This window comes from Homo sapiens, chromosome 18, assembly GCF_000001405.40.
Source record: "Homo sapiens chromosome 18, GRCh38.p14 Primary Assembly".
Lineage (NCBI taxonomy): Eukaryota > Metazoa > Chordata > Mammalia > Primates > Hominidae > Homo > Homo sapiens.
Genome location: NC_000018.10, coordinates 7,716,472 through 7,733,717, shown reverse-complemented (window position 1 = coordinate 7,733,717; position 17,246 = coordinate 7,716,472). Strand labels below are relative to the sequence as shown.

At 38.1% G+C, this 17,246-nt stretch overlaps 1 protein-coding gene across 11 annotated transcripts in view, besides 1 other annotated feature; it reads right to left on the bottom strand.

Moving 5' to 3' along the window:
- PTPRM (protein tyrosine phosphatase receptor type M) overlaps positions 1-17,246 on the bottom strand; it is an 839,541-nt gene that overhangs the window by 673,139 nt on the left and 149,156 nt on the right. The gene's annotated exons all lie outside the window — the stretch shown is intronic.
- Positions 4,743-5,942: an enhancer, noted in NCBI's record as "MED14-independent group 3 enhancer chr18:7727774-7728973 (GRCh37/hg19 assembly coordinates)". NCBI's record gives its function as "activates an origin of replication core promoter dependent on BRD2, BRD4, P300/CBP and CDK7 cofactors, and independent of MED14, by STARR-seq in HCT116 cells {active_cell/tissue: HCT116}" and the evidence as "EXISTENCE:reporter gene assay evidence [ECO:0000049][PMID:35650434]".

The following is a 17,246-nucleotide window of genomic DNA, read 5'->3' as shown; positions in this document are numbered from 1 at the left end:
CTGCTTACAGGGACCCTCTGTTTGCTGAGAGCATTCCTTTTGCTTAATACATTCTGTGCTCTGATTCCTCAAGGATCTAGAACCAGAAATACCATTTGACCCAGCAATCACATTACTGGGCATATTCTCAAAGGATTATAAATCATTCTACTATAAAGACACATGCACACGTATGTTTACTGCAGCACTATTTACAATAGCAAAGACTTGGAGCCAGCCCAAATGCCTATCATTGATAGACTGAATAAAGAAAATGTGGCACATATACACCATGGAATACTATGCAGCCATAAAAAAGAATGAGATCATGTCCTTTGCAGGGACATGGATGAAGCTGGAAGCCATCATTCTCAGCAAACTAACAGGATCAGAAAACCAAACACCACATGTTCTCATTTATAAGTGGGAGCTGAACAATGAGAACACATGGAAACCAAGGAGGAGAACAACACACACCAGGGCCTGTTGGAGGGTGGGGGGCAAGGGAAAAGGGAGCATTAGGACAAATACCTAATGCATGTGGGGCTTAAAACCTAGATGATGGGTTGATAGGTGCAGCAAACCACCATGGCGCATGTACACCTATGTAACAAACCTGCACATTCGGTACATGTATCCCGGAACTTAAAATACAAAATAAGTAAAATAAATAAATTGTACCCTCCTCACCCTTCAATGTGTCTACATGCCTAATTTTTCCTGGTCATGAGACAAAAACCCAGATTTAGCTGAACTAAGGAGCAAAAATCCTGCATCAGTATGTCTAGCCTATATTGTAGTGCAATGATTCCTAAACATGTGAAGCTGGCTGCATAGGGAGCCCTGGAAAAGCTTGCTGGAAAAGAACCTCCAAATAAACACAGGGATTCTTATTCTGCGGTTCAGTTATGGGGCTCAAGAGTCCATATTGTGAGGCCAGGCACAGTGGCTCACACCTGAAATCTCAGCGTTTTTGGAAGCCAAGGTGGGAGGACCACTTGAGACCAGGAGTTCGAGACCAGCCTGGGCAATAGTGAGACTCCGTTCCTACAACAATTTCAAAAATTAGCCAGGCATGGGGGTGCATACCTGTAGTTCCAGCTACTCATGAGACCAAGGTGGGAGGATCACTTGAGACCAGAAGGCAAAGGCTGCAGTGAGCTATGATCATGTCATTGCACTCCAGCCTGAGCAACAACAGAGCAAGACCCTGTCTCTAAAAAAAGTAATATTTTTAAAAATAAAAAATCAAATATTATAATTTATTAAGATCAAATAAAGTAACACAATCCTGATTTTAGCTGGACTCCTGGCTACCCAGAATACAGACTGAATATTCCAGTCTTCCTTGAAGCAATAGGTATTCTCATAACTAAGTTCTGATCAATGAAAATGAAATGGAAGTAGAAGTATCATGTGGCTGCTTAAGACACCACCTTCGAAGCCAGCTCATACTGGCCCTTCCCCTCGCCCTACTGTTCATCACTCACCCCTTCAGGCTAGCTGAGGATGTGATGGCCAGGGCTGGGGAAGGTATGTTGAACCTTCATTGCCACATTAGGAAGACAGAGAAGGCAAAGAAGGAACCTGTGTACTCCTTTTCCTTTAAAGGAAAAATAAATTCTACTTGCTTACACCATTCTTATTTTGTGTTTTCCATCTTGGGCTGGATCAAATCCTAACTAAAGACCTAAGTTTTTATACCAATAATTTCTATCAAGACGTTAGAAAATGTTTTCTTATTGAATTTTCTTGCTCTCCAAAAAGAAAACTTAATTTTTTCTTGCTTCTGCAGATGTACAAATTATTCAAGATGGCAACACATAACAATTTGATCAGCAAAGTCTATGAATAAATTTTTTATCAGTTCTCTAATGTTAGTAGGTTGGAGAAAAGCAAGAACAGAGAGTGATCTCCTTTCCCTTACTTTCCCCATTTATTTCCTCTTGTAACTCAAAATTGATGGTATCAAGTTTTAAGGGTCTGTTATATTATTTCGTGCCATGGTTATCTTTCCCCTCTCCCTTAATCCTAAAAGATACTGATAAGACATGAGTTTCAGAGAATCCACATAGAATCTGTACATAAAGATACATGGTAGGATCAAAGAAAAGCTATTCCAGGAGTCAGAAATCCTGCATGTTTATCCCAGCACTATTGCAGATAACTTAGATGGCCTTGTTATGACAGTCATGTACCCTTAGAGCCCAGTTTCCTTAGCTGCAAACTAAAGGATTAAATTAGATCTTCAGGTGCCCTCCTAACTCTACTATTCTATGGCCCTAAAACGATACCTCTTAAAATGTCTGAAAGTACTCCAAATTAATACTTGCAATACCAACCAAGCTTATTTCAATTGAGCACGTCTATTTTCAAGGATAAGATACTATTTTATACCATTGCATCCTAAGAATACTTCTCCATTGCTATAGTACTAAACTGATATTGATTATTACCAGTAAGAACAAAACTTGGGGGAAAATTAAGGACCATAAAGTCTTTGAAAGGAATTTACTGGATATTGAATGTTTTAGAACAAGTTTCAAAATCTTAAATTGATAAACAGAGAGCAACAACTTGATGAAGAAGTGCTGTTCTCTTTCAGTGTGCAAACCCTGTAAGATAAAAGTTGTTAAATACAATTTAATTCACTCTGGAGTACAGTTAAATAGATATGATGGATGGCAGGTTAACTTGATCTTTCTCATCGGTTAAATTATGATAGATGAGGGATGTTCACGCTGAATTTCCAGGCAGAGTCTGTGTTTGAACTCCCTGTCTTTATCAAGAGCTTCCAATCAACAACTGTTCTAAATCCATCTCCATCAGATCAATGTGACACTCTGCAATTATGATAAAGGGGAAGGCCAGAAACCTTACAGAATAAGTCCCTCGGTATTGTGTGTGATGTGAAGTGCAATCAACATGTCAGGGAAACAAAACTGTCTCAACAAATCTGCAGTATTTTGGACTTCGAAGTGAGCTTTTTAATCACCCCTCTCCTCAGTGAAGGAAAAATGTTTCTGGATCCATAATTACTTGTCTTTAGGGAAAGAATTTACTATGAGGCACTGGTATAGAAATTTCATACTTCATGTTTCTGAGCAATACAATCACAGATAAATGACTTTTAATTACCTATTCTAAATTCGAATGAAGAGTGATACAGACCAGCTACACTGTGGATAATCCAAGAATAATCATTTGGCCTTTAGGTAACAATACAGGTGTTTGTTGAGTGCTAAGTGTATTCAGTGCATTTATGTTTCTAATTATGTGTGCTTTAAGGTAATATGGACACTTCTCTGCTACCTCATGAAAACACTAATTCATAACTTGAGGAGGAACCATAGGAACTCTAAAAGTAAAGGAAGACATCCTTAGGGGTAACATAGAAATGACTGGCCATTAAATATTCAAACAGTGTCAGACAACAATTTATGCACCAAATTTCTAAATAAATAAGCATCCAGTACGTAACAGAGAAAAAGTGAACATGACATAGCTCATTTTCAGCATCAATCATCCTATGGTGACACCCTCTAAAGAATCTAGAATTAAAGATTTGTTAAAGTTATCATGCATTTTAGTATGTTTAGAGGCCACTTTCATTTACAAGGGTCCATTTTGGCCCTTGTAAAACTGGTTTTATTACTTAAGTGCCAAATGTTAATCATTACAGAACCCAAGGACAGTGTTACAGTGAGGCTCTAGGTGTAACAGATTCAGAGCCAACGCAGATTTTTTTTCCATAAATATTTGATACTTGAAAAGTATTTCATATAAGCCTGAAAGTACATGTAGAGTATATTTTTCAATCATGAATACACTAGAGACAACTTCAACACGGAATGTATAAAAGCTTTAATTCATTATTTTATCATTAAGATAAAAATGAGACTAAGATTTAAATTTATGTTGGCTTTAGATGGTTCTATATGATTAGTTTTTTTTAATCCTTCAAGTTAAAAGTATCCTAAAAAATAGAAGTAACTGAGGATAATAACTGAAGTAATAAATTCAACTGTGTGCTTTGAAATGATAAGGACAAAATACCTACCAGTGGCTCCAGAACTGACAATATGGCAAGTAAAACTAAGAGCCCCAAGGCCATTTTTAATTGCTCTACTTAAATGAATGTTACCATTTCCATTTGACATCAACTCTACCTTGACTATATTCTTCTAAGTCTTTTGTACTGTTTTTTTTTCAGCCTTATTATAAAATAAATGCTATTTTAAATACAATGGAAGTTCTGTCTGTAGCAGAAAATTAAAAGAGCCAGGAAGAGATAATATAACACTCAAAGACCAGCCTAAGGCATGATTGTATAATCTATCTTGAGAAGATCATCTATTTCACTACCCAGAGGGGGTTCCACAAACCCTGAATCAGGGTCACACAACACCTGTGCCAAATCCTTGGGGAAAATAAAGTTAAGCCATAAGTGAGGACCATTTATTTATTACCTTGATGTACAACAAAGGCCAAGCCATTCCATTCAGGAACACCTCCCATAAAAAGTTGGAGGGGGCCAGTGTGGGCTCACATCTATAATCCCAGCATTTTGAGAGGCTGAGGCAGGAGGACATTTGAGCCCACGAGTTTGAGACCAGCCTGGGTAACAAAGCTAGATCCTGTCTCTACAAAAAATTTAAAAATTAGCCCAGTGTGGTGGTGCACAACTGTGGGCCCAGCTACTCAGGAGGCTGAGGCAGGAGGATTGCTTGAGGCCAGGAATTCAAGACTGCAGTGGGCCTGTACTCTAGCCTTGACAATAGAGAGAAACTGCATCTCAAAAAAAAAAAAAAAAGGTTGGAGGAAAATTAATTTTCAAAAAAAAGTAATAGCTAGATTCTTGATGATCCTTCATTTTAATTATAAAACTACATTTACATTGAGGTAGAGTTTACAAATAGTCTAGGACACAGATTAATTATTTCTGTTCCTAACAATTATAATAGAGAAATGCTGCTGATAGAGGCAGGAGGCAGACAAATGCCTAGGCAGATAGGGAAGGGTCCCTGGTGAAACCTCACCTTCAAGCCTAAAACAGCCTGAAGGCTGAAGACCGGACTGCTGGTCTCAGATGAAACCCAAGACCCAAAGGGAGAACATCTGCCCCAGTTTGCCTGCCCTTTCCTAATTGATTCTTTCTGAATAATGCCTTTTAACCAATGGAATGTTGTCTTTTCCAATACTACCTATGGCTTGCCTGGGCATGCCCACATGTGCCCTGAGGGAACTGGGCGGAGCCATCAGGAATTTGCGCCTTATGCAGGGAGGAGCGTAGCCTCTTCAGCTCCTGTATGGTGGCCCTGGTATTCAATTTGTGAGGTGGAAACCTTCTTGCAGGACCCTTTTCTTTGCTGAGAGCTTTCCTTTAGAGGTTAATAAATTCCACCCTCCTCACCCTTCAATGTGTCCATGTGCTTAATTCTTTCTGGTCATGAGATAAGAACCCAGATTTAGCTGAACTAAGGAGTCAAAATCCTGCATCACTGCTATTTTGGATTTTAAATCATTATACAAAACCAGAATTAAACATACTGAAATACTGTTAAGTATGAATCAGAAGTCACATTATTAAATAACAAATATCTGAACCTTACTTATAATTTCCTATTACAGCACAAAAATAAGTAAAACTTGAAGAACTTGGGGAAGCCTTCAAAGAATAGGCCAGAGACCAGAGACAAGAAGATTTGGGTCCGAATCCCAAATTTGTAATTCATACTTACTGATTCTGTGACCTTGAGCAAATTACCTTAAACTGTGATGCCCTTGATTTTAGTGCCTGTAACAGAAATGATTATAAAACCACAGTTCTATTTTGGGGATTACATGAGATAACATTTGTAAAGCACCTGGCCTAGTGCCTGGCACACAGGAGATGATCCCAAGTAATAGATGTTTTTCAAACACTTAACATAATTCTTTGGGATTAAATTTCTCACATTTGGACTTGCTGCAAAATTGCACACGTTTAATACAGCACACAGGAAAACCTATTTATCCATTCTCAAGTTATTCCAGAAATAAAAGCCAAACACATATTCACTTTCCCACATCCAAATTTGGGAGAAATGATAATTTGGCTGTTTATTTCAACTTTTATGTCTGCAAAACAGCTTTCCAACATAAATCCAAATTTGACATGCCATTGGCTTGCCACAAAAAAATCAGTTACTTGGCTGTCTCTCAAAAGATTTTACTAAATACAGCTGTGAAACTTCATGACAAAAAAAAGTGGGAATGCACAACTAAGCAAAAATTTATCTGAGTATATACACTTAAAATCATTAATGATTAGTACTACAGACATATTTTCCTTATAAGCCAAAATAATTCAATGAAGAAATAAAGCAGCCTTTCAAGGTTAAAGGCATCTGCTTGATGAGAAAATAAACTGAAAATATAATGCATGTGTACACAAAAAACTGACCTTTTCTCCTAAGGATCTTGGCAGAGGTGATCCTTAGATCACAAAATTAGAGGTGAAAGAAGCTGGTCTCATGGGTTACTCAGTCATGGACCCTCCATTCAAGAGCCCCTTCTTACAATATCCCTGTTAGTCACCCAGCCTCTACTTAAATAATGTTGGTGACAGGGAAGTCATTACTTTTCAAGTCACCCGTTCCATTATTTCACAGCTCTAATTGACAGGAAGAACTTCATTAAAAATAAAACCACCAAGAAACTTCAAAGAACAACAAAACTATTGAAGTTTGTCTTACCACTGAATTATATAAAATTAGTTAACTAAAAAGCCCAGGTCTTTTTCTATGAACTGCTGTCAAGGCTGATATCCTCTATTTTTCACTTACGCACTTTCTCTGACTTTGATCTATTATTCCACGGAATATAACAATAGTTCACTGATTTGCAAAATAATAACAGAGTTGCATTAAAAAGTCATGAAATCTTAAGTTGAATAAATAGAAAAGCAGTATCAAGTTCAAAGGAACTGATACCCTCAATGTACCCAAAATAGGGAAGTCACATTACAGTCCAGTTTGGAACACCATTCTGCAATAAGGCACAATGGTACATCAACAGACTTCCAAAGAATGGTCATTCTCACTCTTGAGAGATTGAGAGATGGCAAAATATGAGGCTCAACTGAGGAACTAAGCATATTTAGTTTGGTTAGTAGTTGAGAAGGGAGGTAAAGATACACCACTCATTTATTCATAAACCTCTACTGAAGAACTTCTGGGTACCAGAAGTGTGCAAGTAAAAGATTAGTAATCCTTCTATGAGAGCTTAAAAAATTAAATATAAAATGATATTATTAACAACGCACAGGATAGGAGAATGTATTTGTAAATCATATTATCTGATAAGCGACTTTTAACCAGAATCTATAAAGAAATCTTAAAACTCAACAAGAAATGACCCAATTAAAAATGAGCAAAGGATCTGAAAAGATCTGAAAACGTTTTTGAAAGAAGATATGTAAATGACCACCATGAACAAAAAAAGATGCTCATCATTAGTCGTTAGAGAAATGTAACTCAAATCCACAAGTACCACAGAAGCAGATTATTTCCCTGACCCCTTCACAGGCGGGAAATGGAGTGCACTCGTGCTGGTGCTGGCAGGGGCGAATTCTACTCACTGACTGCTCCAAACCTCACAGGAGGGGGAGTGCATGTGAACAGGTGCAGGAGCTGGGGCGAGCGCTTTTGGGGAGGAGCAAGAGCGAACTCTGTACTGGCCCTGCAGCAGGGTTTAGGGTACAGTGCCCGTGATCCGAAGCCCCAGAGGAAGTGCAACAGTGCCCTTTTAGCTTTGCTGTCTGTGGATGGCTTAAGTGTTAACAGCTCAGTGGACGGTCAGTGTGACAACCGTTTGCACCCACACTTGTGGCACCCAAGTTCTTCTCTGGCGTCCAGAAGGAATGAGGTCACACGAACGAACTGAAGACAGTAAATGCAAGGGATTTTATTCCTGGTGAAAGTGGCTCTCAGCGCGAAGGGGAGATGAAAAAGGGACAGGGCAGGAAGGTAATGTTCCCTTGGAGTCCAGCCGTCCTGGCCAGAATCCTCTCCAAAGCAACATCATCAAACTGTCCCTCCGAGGTTAAGCTGCTTCTTTCCGACATCCAACCATAGTCTCCGATGTCCAGCTGCTTCTCCCCTCTGCTGGCAGAGCTCTGGGGTTTTTATAGGCACAGGATGGGGGTTGGGGGCAGGGCCATGGGTGGTTTTGGAAAAGGCAACATTGGAGCAGAAAACAGGAGCATAAGTTCTCACTTTGGGCTGCAGTTCCAGGCTCTTTGGCTTGAGGATAGGGACTTCACCAGGGACCCGTCCTTTTCTGCCCAGAATTTCCCTGCCTCCTGTCCCTATCACCACCTCATACCCATTGGGGTGGCTAGAACAAAAAATATGGACAATAACAAGCACTGGCAAAAATATGGAGAACTGGGAATGCTCATCTGTTAAGTCAGTGAACTGTACAATGTGTGGATTATATCTCAAAAAAGTTGCCTTACAAAAGGACCCCCCAAAAATGATACTCTGTACAATTTCAGTAGGGAGACCCAAATATCAACACTTAGAAGAATGAGAAAATGAGATTTAGGGACAGGATAAATATGACAGTCCATCATTTAGATGTCCATCATTTAGATGTGGTGAATAACCAGAATGAACTGTGTCACTACTGAAGACCCTTTGTCTCTGCCAATTCAGGAGAAAGTTGAATAAGTTTCTGAACTAGCTGCCATAGATGGAATGCAAATAAACCATTTGCATCTGTTGAGTCCTAGGGTCAAATACAATTAGAAAATACTACCCGTTTATGTAACTGGTATGTGTATAAAGACAAAGAGCCTGAACATTGTAATACAACACTTATTTTTCAATAAAGGGAACAGCACTACTATAAGAGTAATTAGTTTAAAACTAACATTATGAGTCAGAGTCCCACTGCCCTACACATTTTAAAGTTTATTTTGAATATATGAATATACGAGGAACAGCCACCAAATCTTTAATACTACTTTCTTAATCTCTGCTAATCGCTCTGCTACAGCCTTCCTGCTAAATGTATTCCAGTGTATGTCCTCTGACCACTGGGAATTGTATCCATTTTATGTACCCATATTGGGGTTAAAACAATAATAACAGGTTCACAGCTAGATTCTGAAAAAATCTTTTCAGGCAAGGTCAAGTAATCGATCTTACAGAAAACCAATGTTGTAGGGATAATGCCGGGTACCAGCAACCTACAGGTGTGCTAATGGTTTAAATGAATCCGCCTTCTTTTTAAGACAGTTACTACTTGTCAAGAGCCATATTTTCTTGTAGGTTTGGTCTAGGTTAAATCAGGTTTTACTAGGTCCATGTTGCTGTAAATTTTTTATTTTTAAATGAGAAGTGAGGAAAAAATGGTTAAAGTCACACTTTTTCAACAACAGAAACGATCATGATTGTCTTTGTGTAACAGATGAAAAAGAAAACACATAAGAAGAAAGAAGCTTTATAAATATCACATCAGTGTATACAAGAATTTTGAGAAAAAATTAGAAAAGTGTTACTACTTTCCATTCAACAAATGTACTAAGTGACAACTATATGCAAGACACGACACCTGACCCTTGAGAATCACACTTTTTCTCCTCCAGGAGTTTACACCTCACATTAAAAAAAAAAAGGAAATTACTAGGGAGTACATAGAAGATATGTGAGTTAAGTTTCCAGAAATGGTAAATCATTAGGAATTCAGAGCAGGTCACTTTTAGAGGGTGTTGGGAGCAGGGCCTGGAGGCACAGAACACTAATTTCAATTTCAATCACTGAAAGATATTTGTAAGGAAGCTTCAGAAGCAGAACTTGTAACAAGGAAAAGAGTGCAAGTTGCTTATGAGGGAAATGCAGGGAGTATAGGAAGGCGAGGAGGTAACACAGGAGGAAAAGGCAGACAAAAAGGGTGCTCTCCCAGCCCGCGCCCCCAGGGGACAGGGTCTCAGAATCCCGAAGGGAAACGCTGGAAGTGGCGCAAGGAACATGCCTCAAAATCATGCCTCCTGAGGAATAACAGCAACAGGAGAGCCACTGGTTGAGAGCTTCTCCCAGAGAATGTGAATTCCAGCCTACAAGCTGGTGGGCAGAGGAAACTTACACGGTTCTAGCACGAAAATTCACCCTGGAACATGGAAAGATGCAGAGCACAGAGGGCAGGGGTGGGCACTGACAGTCAGTGGAGGTCTCATTCTTAGACACTGCCAAATCTCTCTCCATGGAGTGGGACCCTCGGGCACTCACACCAGCCAGGTACTTAAGGGCTCTTTTTGCCCTTGTCTTTACCAAGAGAATTCACCAAGATTTTAAATGTTTTCTGATCTATTAGGTTAATGGTATCTACTGACTCCATGTTAGAAAAAGCTTGCTTGCTTGAATGTAATTATTATTTTGCATGAGTTTGTAGATTATTCATCTAATACAGCCTCAGGAAAACAGGATGTTCAAGAAAGATAAAAGAAAATACCAGCAGCGCTGGGAATGGGCTGACCAGCCTGTTAATAGCCTGTAGGAGGCCACAAGACTTTCACCAAGAAAAAGCAATGATTAACAGCCACCTGATACTATGCATGTTCACAAGAATGCTCTGATCATCATTTCCCCTATTTCCCTTAAAAACTCCTGATCTAGATTCACAACTTAGAAAGGCGGTCTTCAAACGCTAGTTCACTGACTTCCTGGAGTTGCTGGCTTCTTGGAAAAAAAAACTAACTTTCCATTCACCAAAACTTGTCTCTTGAGTTTTTGGTTTTCAAGTGGCTCAGACCTGAGTTTAGTTACATAGTGCCATTCTAATTTGCATTTCTCCTATTATAAGTGAACTTGAACACCTTCTCATAGGTCTAAAAGCCATTTGCGTACCGATTTACATGAGCTCTCTGTCCCTGTTTTATCCCTTTGTCTCTTAAGTTTCTCCTGTGTTCTCTGATTTTTAAGAATCCTTTAATATTAGGTAGATTATCCCTTTATATATGATGTGTTGTAAACATTTATTCCCAGTTTATGATTTGTCTTTTGGTTTTGCTTATGGTAGTTTTCTTCATACATAAAAACTTTTTCTTGAAAGTTTTTATGTTGCCACTGGCAAACCTGTCAATCTTTTCTTTTATTTCATCTTGGTTTTGAGTTATAGAAAGGCTTTCTTTATATCCAATTTATAAGTGAATTTACCCACATTTTATTTTAGTATTTATCTGGCTTCACTTTTTTTCTTGATTTTTCTTTTCTTTTTTTCTACAATTAGATGTCTGACCCATCTGGATTTTATGATGGTGTACGGTGTACAGTATGTCTCCTACTTCATATTTACCAAATGATTATCTAGGTGTTCCAACACAACTTATTAAAAGTCTAACTTTTCAAATAAAAAGAAATGGGCCATCAAGCCACCAAAAAACACAGAGGAACCTTAAATGCTTATTGCTCAGTGAAAGAAGCCAATCTGAAAAGACTATACACTGTATGATTCCAACAATATGACATTCTGGAAAAGCCAAAACTATGGAGACAGAAAGCAGATTAGTGGTTGCCAGAGATTAGTGGGACAAAAGGGTGAATAAGCAGAGCACAGAAGATTTTTAGAGCAGTAAAACTTGTTTTATGTATGATACTGTAATGCTAGACACATGTCCTTACATACTTGTCAAACCCCATAGCATATACAATACAAACAGTGAATCCTAATGTAAACTATGAACCTTCATTAACAGTAATCTCTCAATATTGCCTATGCAATTACAACAAATACACTACACAAATTCAAGATTTTAAGAACAAAGGAAAACTGGTGGGGAGAAGGAATATATAGGAACTCTATACATTTCATTTGATTATTTCTGTAAACTTGAAACTTCTTAAAAAATAAAATCAAACTAAAACAATGTAGTACTGGCATAAACACAGACAGAGTAATGAAACAGAATAGAGAGCCCAGAAGTAAACCCTGGCATATATGATTGAGTAATTTCTGACATGTGTGTCAAAAACATTCAGTGGTAAAAGAACAGTCTTTTCAACAAACGGTACTGAATAAACTGGATATCCACGTGCAAAAATAATGAATTTTCACTCTTGCCTTATATCATAATCAAAAATTAACTCAAAATGTATCAAAGACCCAAATGAAAGAGGTGAAACTGTATCACTCATCATGACATTGGATTTGGCATTGATTTCTTGGCTATGACACTAAAATCACTGGTAACAACAATAAAAATAGATAAAATGGATTACATCAAAATATAAAAATTATTTGTATCAAAAGTCACAATCAACAAAGTGAAAAGGCAACCCATAGAATGAGAGAAAATACTTACAAATCATGTATCTAATAAAGAGTTAATATACAGAACATATGAAGAAGTCCTAAAAATCAACAATAACAAAAAATCCAATTATAAAATAGCCAAAGGACTTGAATAGACATTCCTCCAAAGAAGATATACAAATGGCCAAAAAGAATATAAAAAGATGCCAAACATCATTAATCATTAGGGAAACGCAAATCAAAACCCAATCAGATATCACCTCATGCCCACTGGAATAGCTAATATCAAAAAAAAAAAAAGAAAATAATAAGTGTTGATGATGATGTGGAGAAACCGGAACCCTTTCACACTATTGGTGAGAATGTAAAATATTATAGTCTCTGTGGTAAAGAGTATGGAAGTCCCTCAAAAAGTTTAAAATAGAATTACCCTATGATCCTGCATTCCATTTGAGTATATATCAAAAAGAATTCAAAGCATGGTCCTGAGAAATCTGTATACCCATGTTCATTGCAGAATCATTCATCACAGCCAAAAAGTAGAAGCAACCCAAGAGTCTACTGATAAATAAATGGACAGACAAAATGTGGTACATACACATACAATGGAACATTATTCATCCTTACAAAGGAAGGAAATTCTGACATGCCACATGCATGAACCTTAAGGACATTACCCTAAGTGAAATAAGCCAGTCACAAAAAGATAAATATTGTATGATTCTCCTTATATGGGATACCTAGAGTAGTCAAAATGAGAGGCACAAAGTAGAATGATAGTTTCCGGTGGCTGGGGGATGGGGAGGTGCTGGGAGTTAGTTAATGGGTACAGAATCAGGTTAGCAAGGTGAAAAGAGTTCTGGAGAATGGTTGCACAACAATATGACAAAACACTAGTGAACTGTATACCTTAAAAAATAGTTCAGATGGCAAATTTTATGTAGTATGGATTTTACCACAATCAAACATAGTCTATTAATTTTTTTAAGTCTATCATTTCCCACTGATTTGAGAAGCCACTTTTATTACAGTGAATTTCCATGTGTTCTTGGGTCTATGTCCTGATTTTTTTTCTCTGATGACCAATTCGTATGCCAGCACCCACTATTTCATTACAGAGGCTCTAGAGTGTGCATATTGGAAAAAGCAATTTCCCCATTACTCTTCTACTGTCAGGTCTTCCTATTTTTGTACGTTTATTTTATATGTGGATATTAGAATCAAATCATCAAGCTCAAAGTAAAACTTTGTCACTTTTATTAGTATTGAATTAAATTTATTAATTTGAAGATAGCTGATATTTTTATGATAATGAGTTGTCCTATCAAAGAACAAATTATAACTATCCATTTGTTCAAGTCTACTTGTGGGCCCTCCAGGAGAAGTTTAAGGGTTTCCTTAATTTTTTAAGAGACGGGGTCTTGCTATCTCACCCAGGTAGACTCAAACTCTTGCGATCAAGAGATCCTCCTACCTCAGTCTAACGAGTAGTTTGGGACTACAGATACACACCACTACACCTGGCTTTTGACTTTTGTATGTTAATTTTATATTCTGCTATCTTATTTGAATTATTTTACTGTGTTTGTTTTCTCATTGATTGTTTGGATTTTCTAGTATCATCTGTAAAGAGGTAGTTTCACCTTCTTATGTGTAATTCTTAAGCCTCTATTTTTCCTTGTTTGATTTCATTGGCTATTATCTCCAATGTAATATTAAACAGCAATGAACACAGTGGGATCCTTGCCTTGTTTGGAAACTTAATAGGAATGCCTCTCTTATTTAACCACTAAGTATTATGCTGACCTTATCTGTAGTCTAAATGTTTTATCTACACCTAATGAATTGTTTAACAATTACTATTTTATTAAGTGTGTTTTTTATTTTTTATTTTTTTTGTATTCTAAATTTAATAGTTTTTTGGGAACAGGTGGTGTTTAGTTACATGGGTAAGTTCTTCAGCGGTGATTTCTGAGATTTTGGTGCACTTGTCACCTGAGCAGTGTACACTGTACCCAATATGTCATCTTTTATCACCCACACCCTCCCAGCCATCCCTCCACGTCCCCAAAGTCCATTATATCACTCTCATGCCTTTGCATCCTGATAGCTCCTACTTACAAGTTAGAATATACAGTATTTGATTTTCCATTCCTGAGTTACTTCACTTAGAATAATGGCTGCCAACTCCAAATTGCTGCAAAGGCCATTATTTCATTCCATTTTATGGCTGAGTTGTATTCCCAGTGTATACATAGCACATTTTCTTTATCCACTCATTGGCTGATGGGCATTTATATTGGTTCTGTATTTTTACAATCGCAAATTATGCTGCTATAAACATGCATGTGCAAGTGTCTTTTCATATAATGACTTCTTTTCCATTAGGTAAATACCCAGTAGTGGGATTGCCGGATCAAATGGTAGATCTACTTTTAGTTCTTTAGAGAATCTCCATACTATTTTCCATAGTGGTTGTACTAGTTTACATTCCCACAAGCAGCATAAAAGAATTCCCTTTTCATCACAACCATACCAACATCTATTATTTTTTAATTTTTTAAATTATGGCCATTCTTATATCTCATTATGGTTTTAATTTGCATTTCTCTGATAAGTAGTGAGGTTGAGCATTTTTTCATATGTTTGTTCGTTGTTTGTATATCTTCTTTTAAGAATCATCTATTCTTGTCCTTTGCCCAGTTTTTGATGGAATTATTTCTTTCTGGCTGATTTGTTGGAGTTCCTTGTAGATTCTGGATATTAGTCCTTTGTCAGATGCACAGTTTGCAAATATTTTCTCCCATTCTGTGGGTTGTCTGTTTACTCTGCTAATTATTTCTCTTGCTGTGCCGAAGCTTTTTAGTTTAATTAGGTCCCATTTGTTTATTTTTGTTTTTGTTGCATTTGCTTTTGAGTTGTTAGTCACAAATTCTTGGCTGAAGCCAACGTCTAGAAGAGTTTTTCTGTTGTTATTTTCCAGAATGCTTATGGTTTCAGGTCTTAGATTTAAGTCTTTGATACATGTTGAGTTGATTTTTAAATAAGGTGAAAGATGAGGATCCACTTTCATTCTTCTACATGTGGCTTACCAGTTATCCCAGCACCATTTATTGAATAGGGTGTCCTTCCCCCACTTTATGTATTTATATGCTTTGTCTAAGCTCAGTTGGCTGTATTTGGCTTTATTTCTGAGTTCTCTATTATGTTTCATTGTTCTATGTGTCTATTTTTATACCAGTACCATGCCGTTTTGGTAACTAGAGACTTGTAGTATAATTTGAAGCATGGTAATGTGATGCCTCCAGATTTGTTCTTTTTGCTTAGTATTGCTTGGGCTATTCAGGCTTTTTTTTTGGTTCCATATGAATTTAAATTTTTTTTTTCTAACTTCTGTGAAGAATGATGATGGTATTGAAGCAGGATATTTCCCTGACCCCTTCATGAGACTCTCAACAGGGGTGCCTTGTTTACTTAGCCCGCCACTCTCAACTCCTCAAGGGAGGGAGCACAAGCAAACAGGTGCGGGAACTGGAGTCAACAAGCACTGGAAAGGGCTAGCCACTTCAGTGACAGCGGGATCAAACTCCACTCACTCAAGACTTGCTGTGTTCCACTCCTTGCAGGAGGGAGCACACAGGTGAGTGGGTGCTGGAACCAGCTAGATGCTTTAGCACAGGCAGGGGCAAACTCCATGAAGCCCCACAGCAGCATCCAGGCAGGATTGCCTGCCACTCCTGAAGCCCCAGAGGCTTCAGTGCTCTTTTAACGCTGCTGTCCACAGATGACTTAAGTGTTAACAGCTCAGTGGGCCCTTTGCCTTTTCGCATGAGGCAGCTGCCCTCTGCCAGTGAAGGCAATGAACTAGTGTGACTGCCTTTTGTATCTACACTAATGGATCCCGAGCTTTTGTCCAGTGTCCAAGAAAAATGAGATCACATGAATGAACTGAAGCATGGTAACTGTGGGCGATTTTACTGCTGATCAAAGTGGCTCTCCGCAGGAAGGGGAGACAAAAAGGGGATGGGGCAGGTAGGTAATCTTTCCCTCAAGTCCAGCCGTCTCTGATCTGATTCTTCTTCGAAGTTACACCATCAAGCTGTCCCTCTGAAGTCAAGCTGCTTCTCTCCAACATCCAGCCGTAGTCCCATCTACCAGCTGAGTCTGGGGTTTTTACGGGCAGAGGATGGGGTGGGGTGGGGCCATGGGTGTTTTAGGAAAAGGCAACATTCAAGCAGGAAAATAGGGATGTAAGTCCTCACAGTTTCAGGTTTTTCAACTTGAGAGTGGGGTTTTCACCAGAAACCCCATCCCTTTTCTGCCTAGAATTTCTTTGCTCCCATCCCTATCCAGTCTATCACTGATGGGCATTTGGGTTGGTTCCAAGTCTTTGCTATTGTGAACAGTGCTGCAATAAACATATGTGTGCATGTGTCTTTATAGTAGAATGATTTATAATCCTTTGGGTATATACCCAGTGATGGGATTGCTGGGTCAAATGGTTTTCTAGTTTCTAGGAATTGCCACACTGTCTTCCACAATGGGGGAACTAATTTACACTCCATCAACAGTGTAAAAGCATTCCTATGTCTCCACATTCTCTCCAGCATCTGTTATTTCCTGACTTTTTAATGATTGCCATTCTAACTGGTATGAGATGGTATCTCATTGTGGTTTTGATTTGCATTTCTCTAATGACCACTGATGATGAGCTTTTTTCATGTTTATTGGTTGCATCAATATCTTCTATTGAGAAGTGTCTGTTCAAATCTTTTTCCCACTTTTTGATGGGGCTGTTTTGTTCTTATAAATAAGTTTAAGTACTTTGCAGATTCTAGATATTAGCCCTTTGTCAGATGGATAGATTGCAAAAATTTTCTCGCATTCTGGAGGTTGCATGTTCACTCTGATAGTTTCTTTTGTTGTGCAGAAGCTCTTTAGTTTAATTAGATCCCATTTGTCAATGGTGG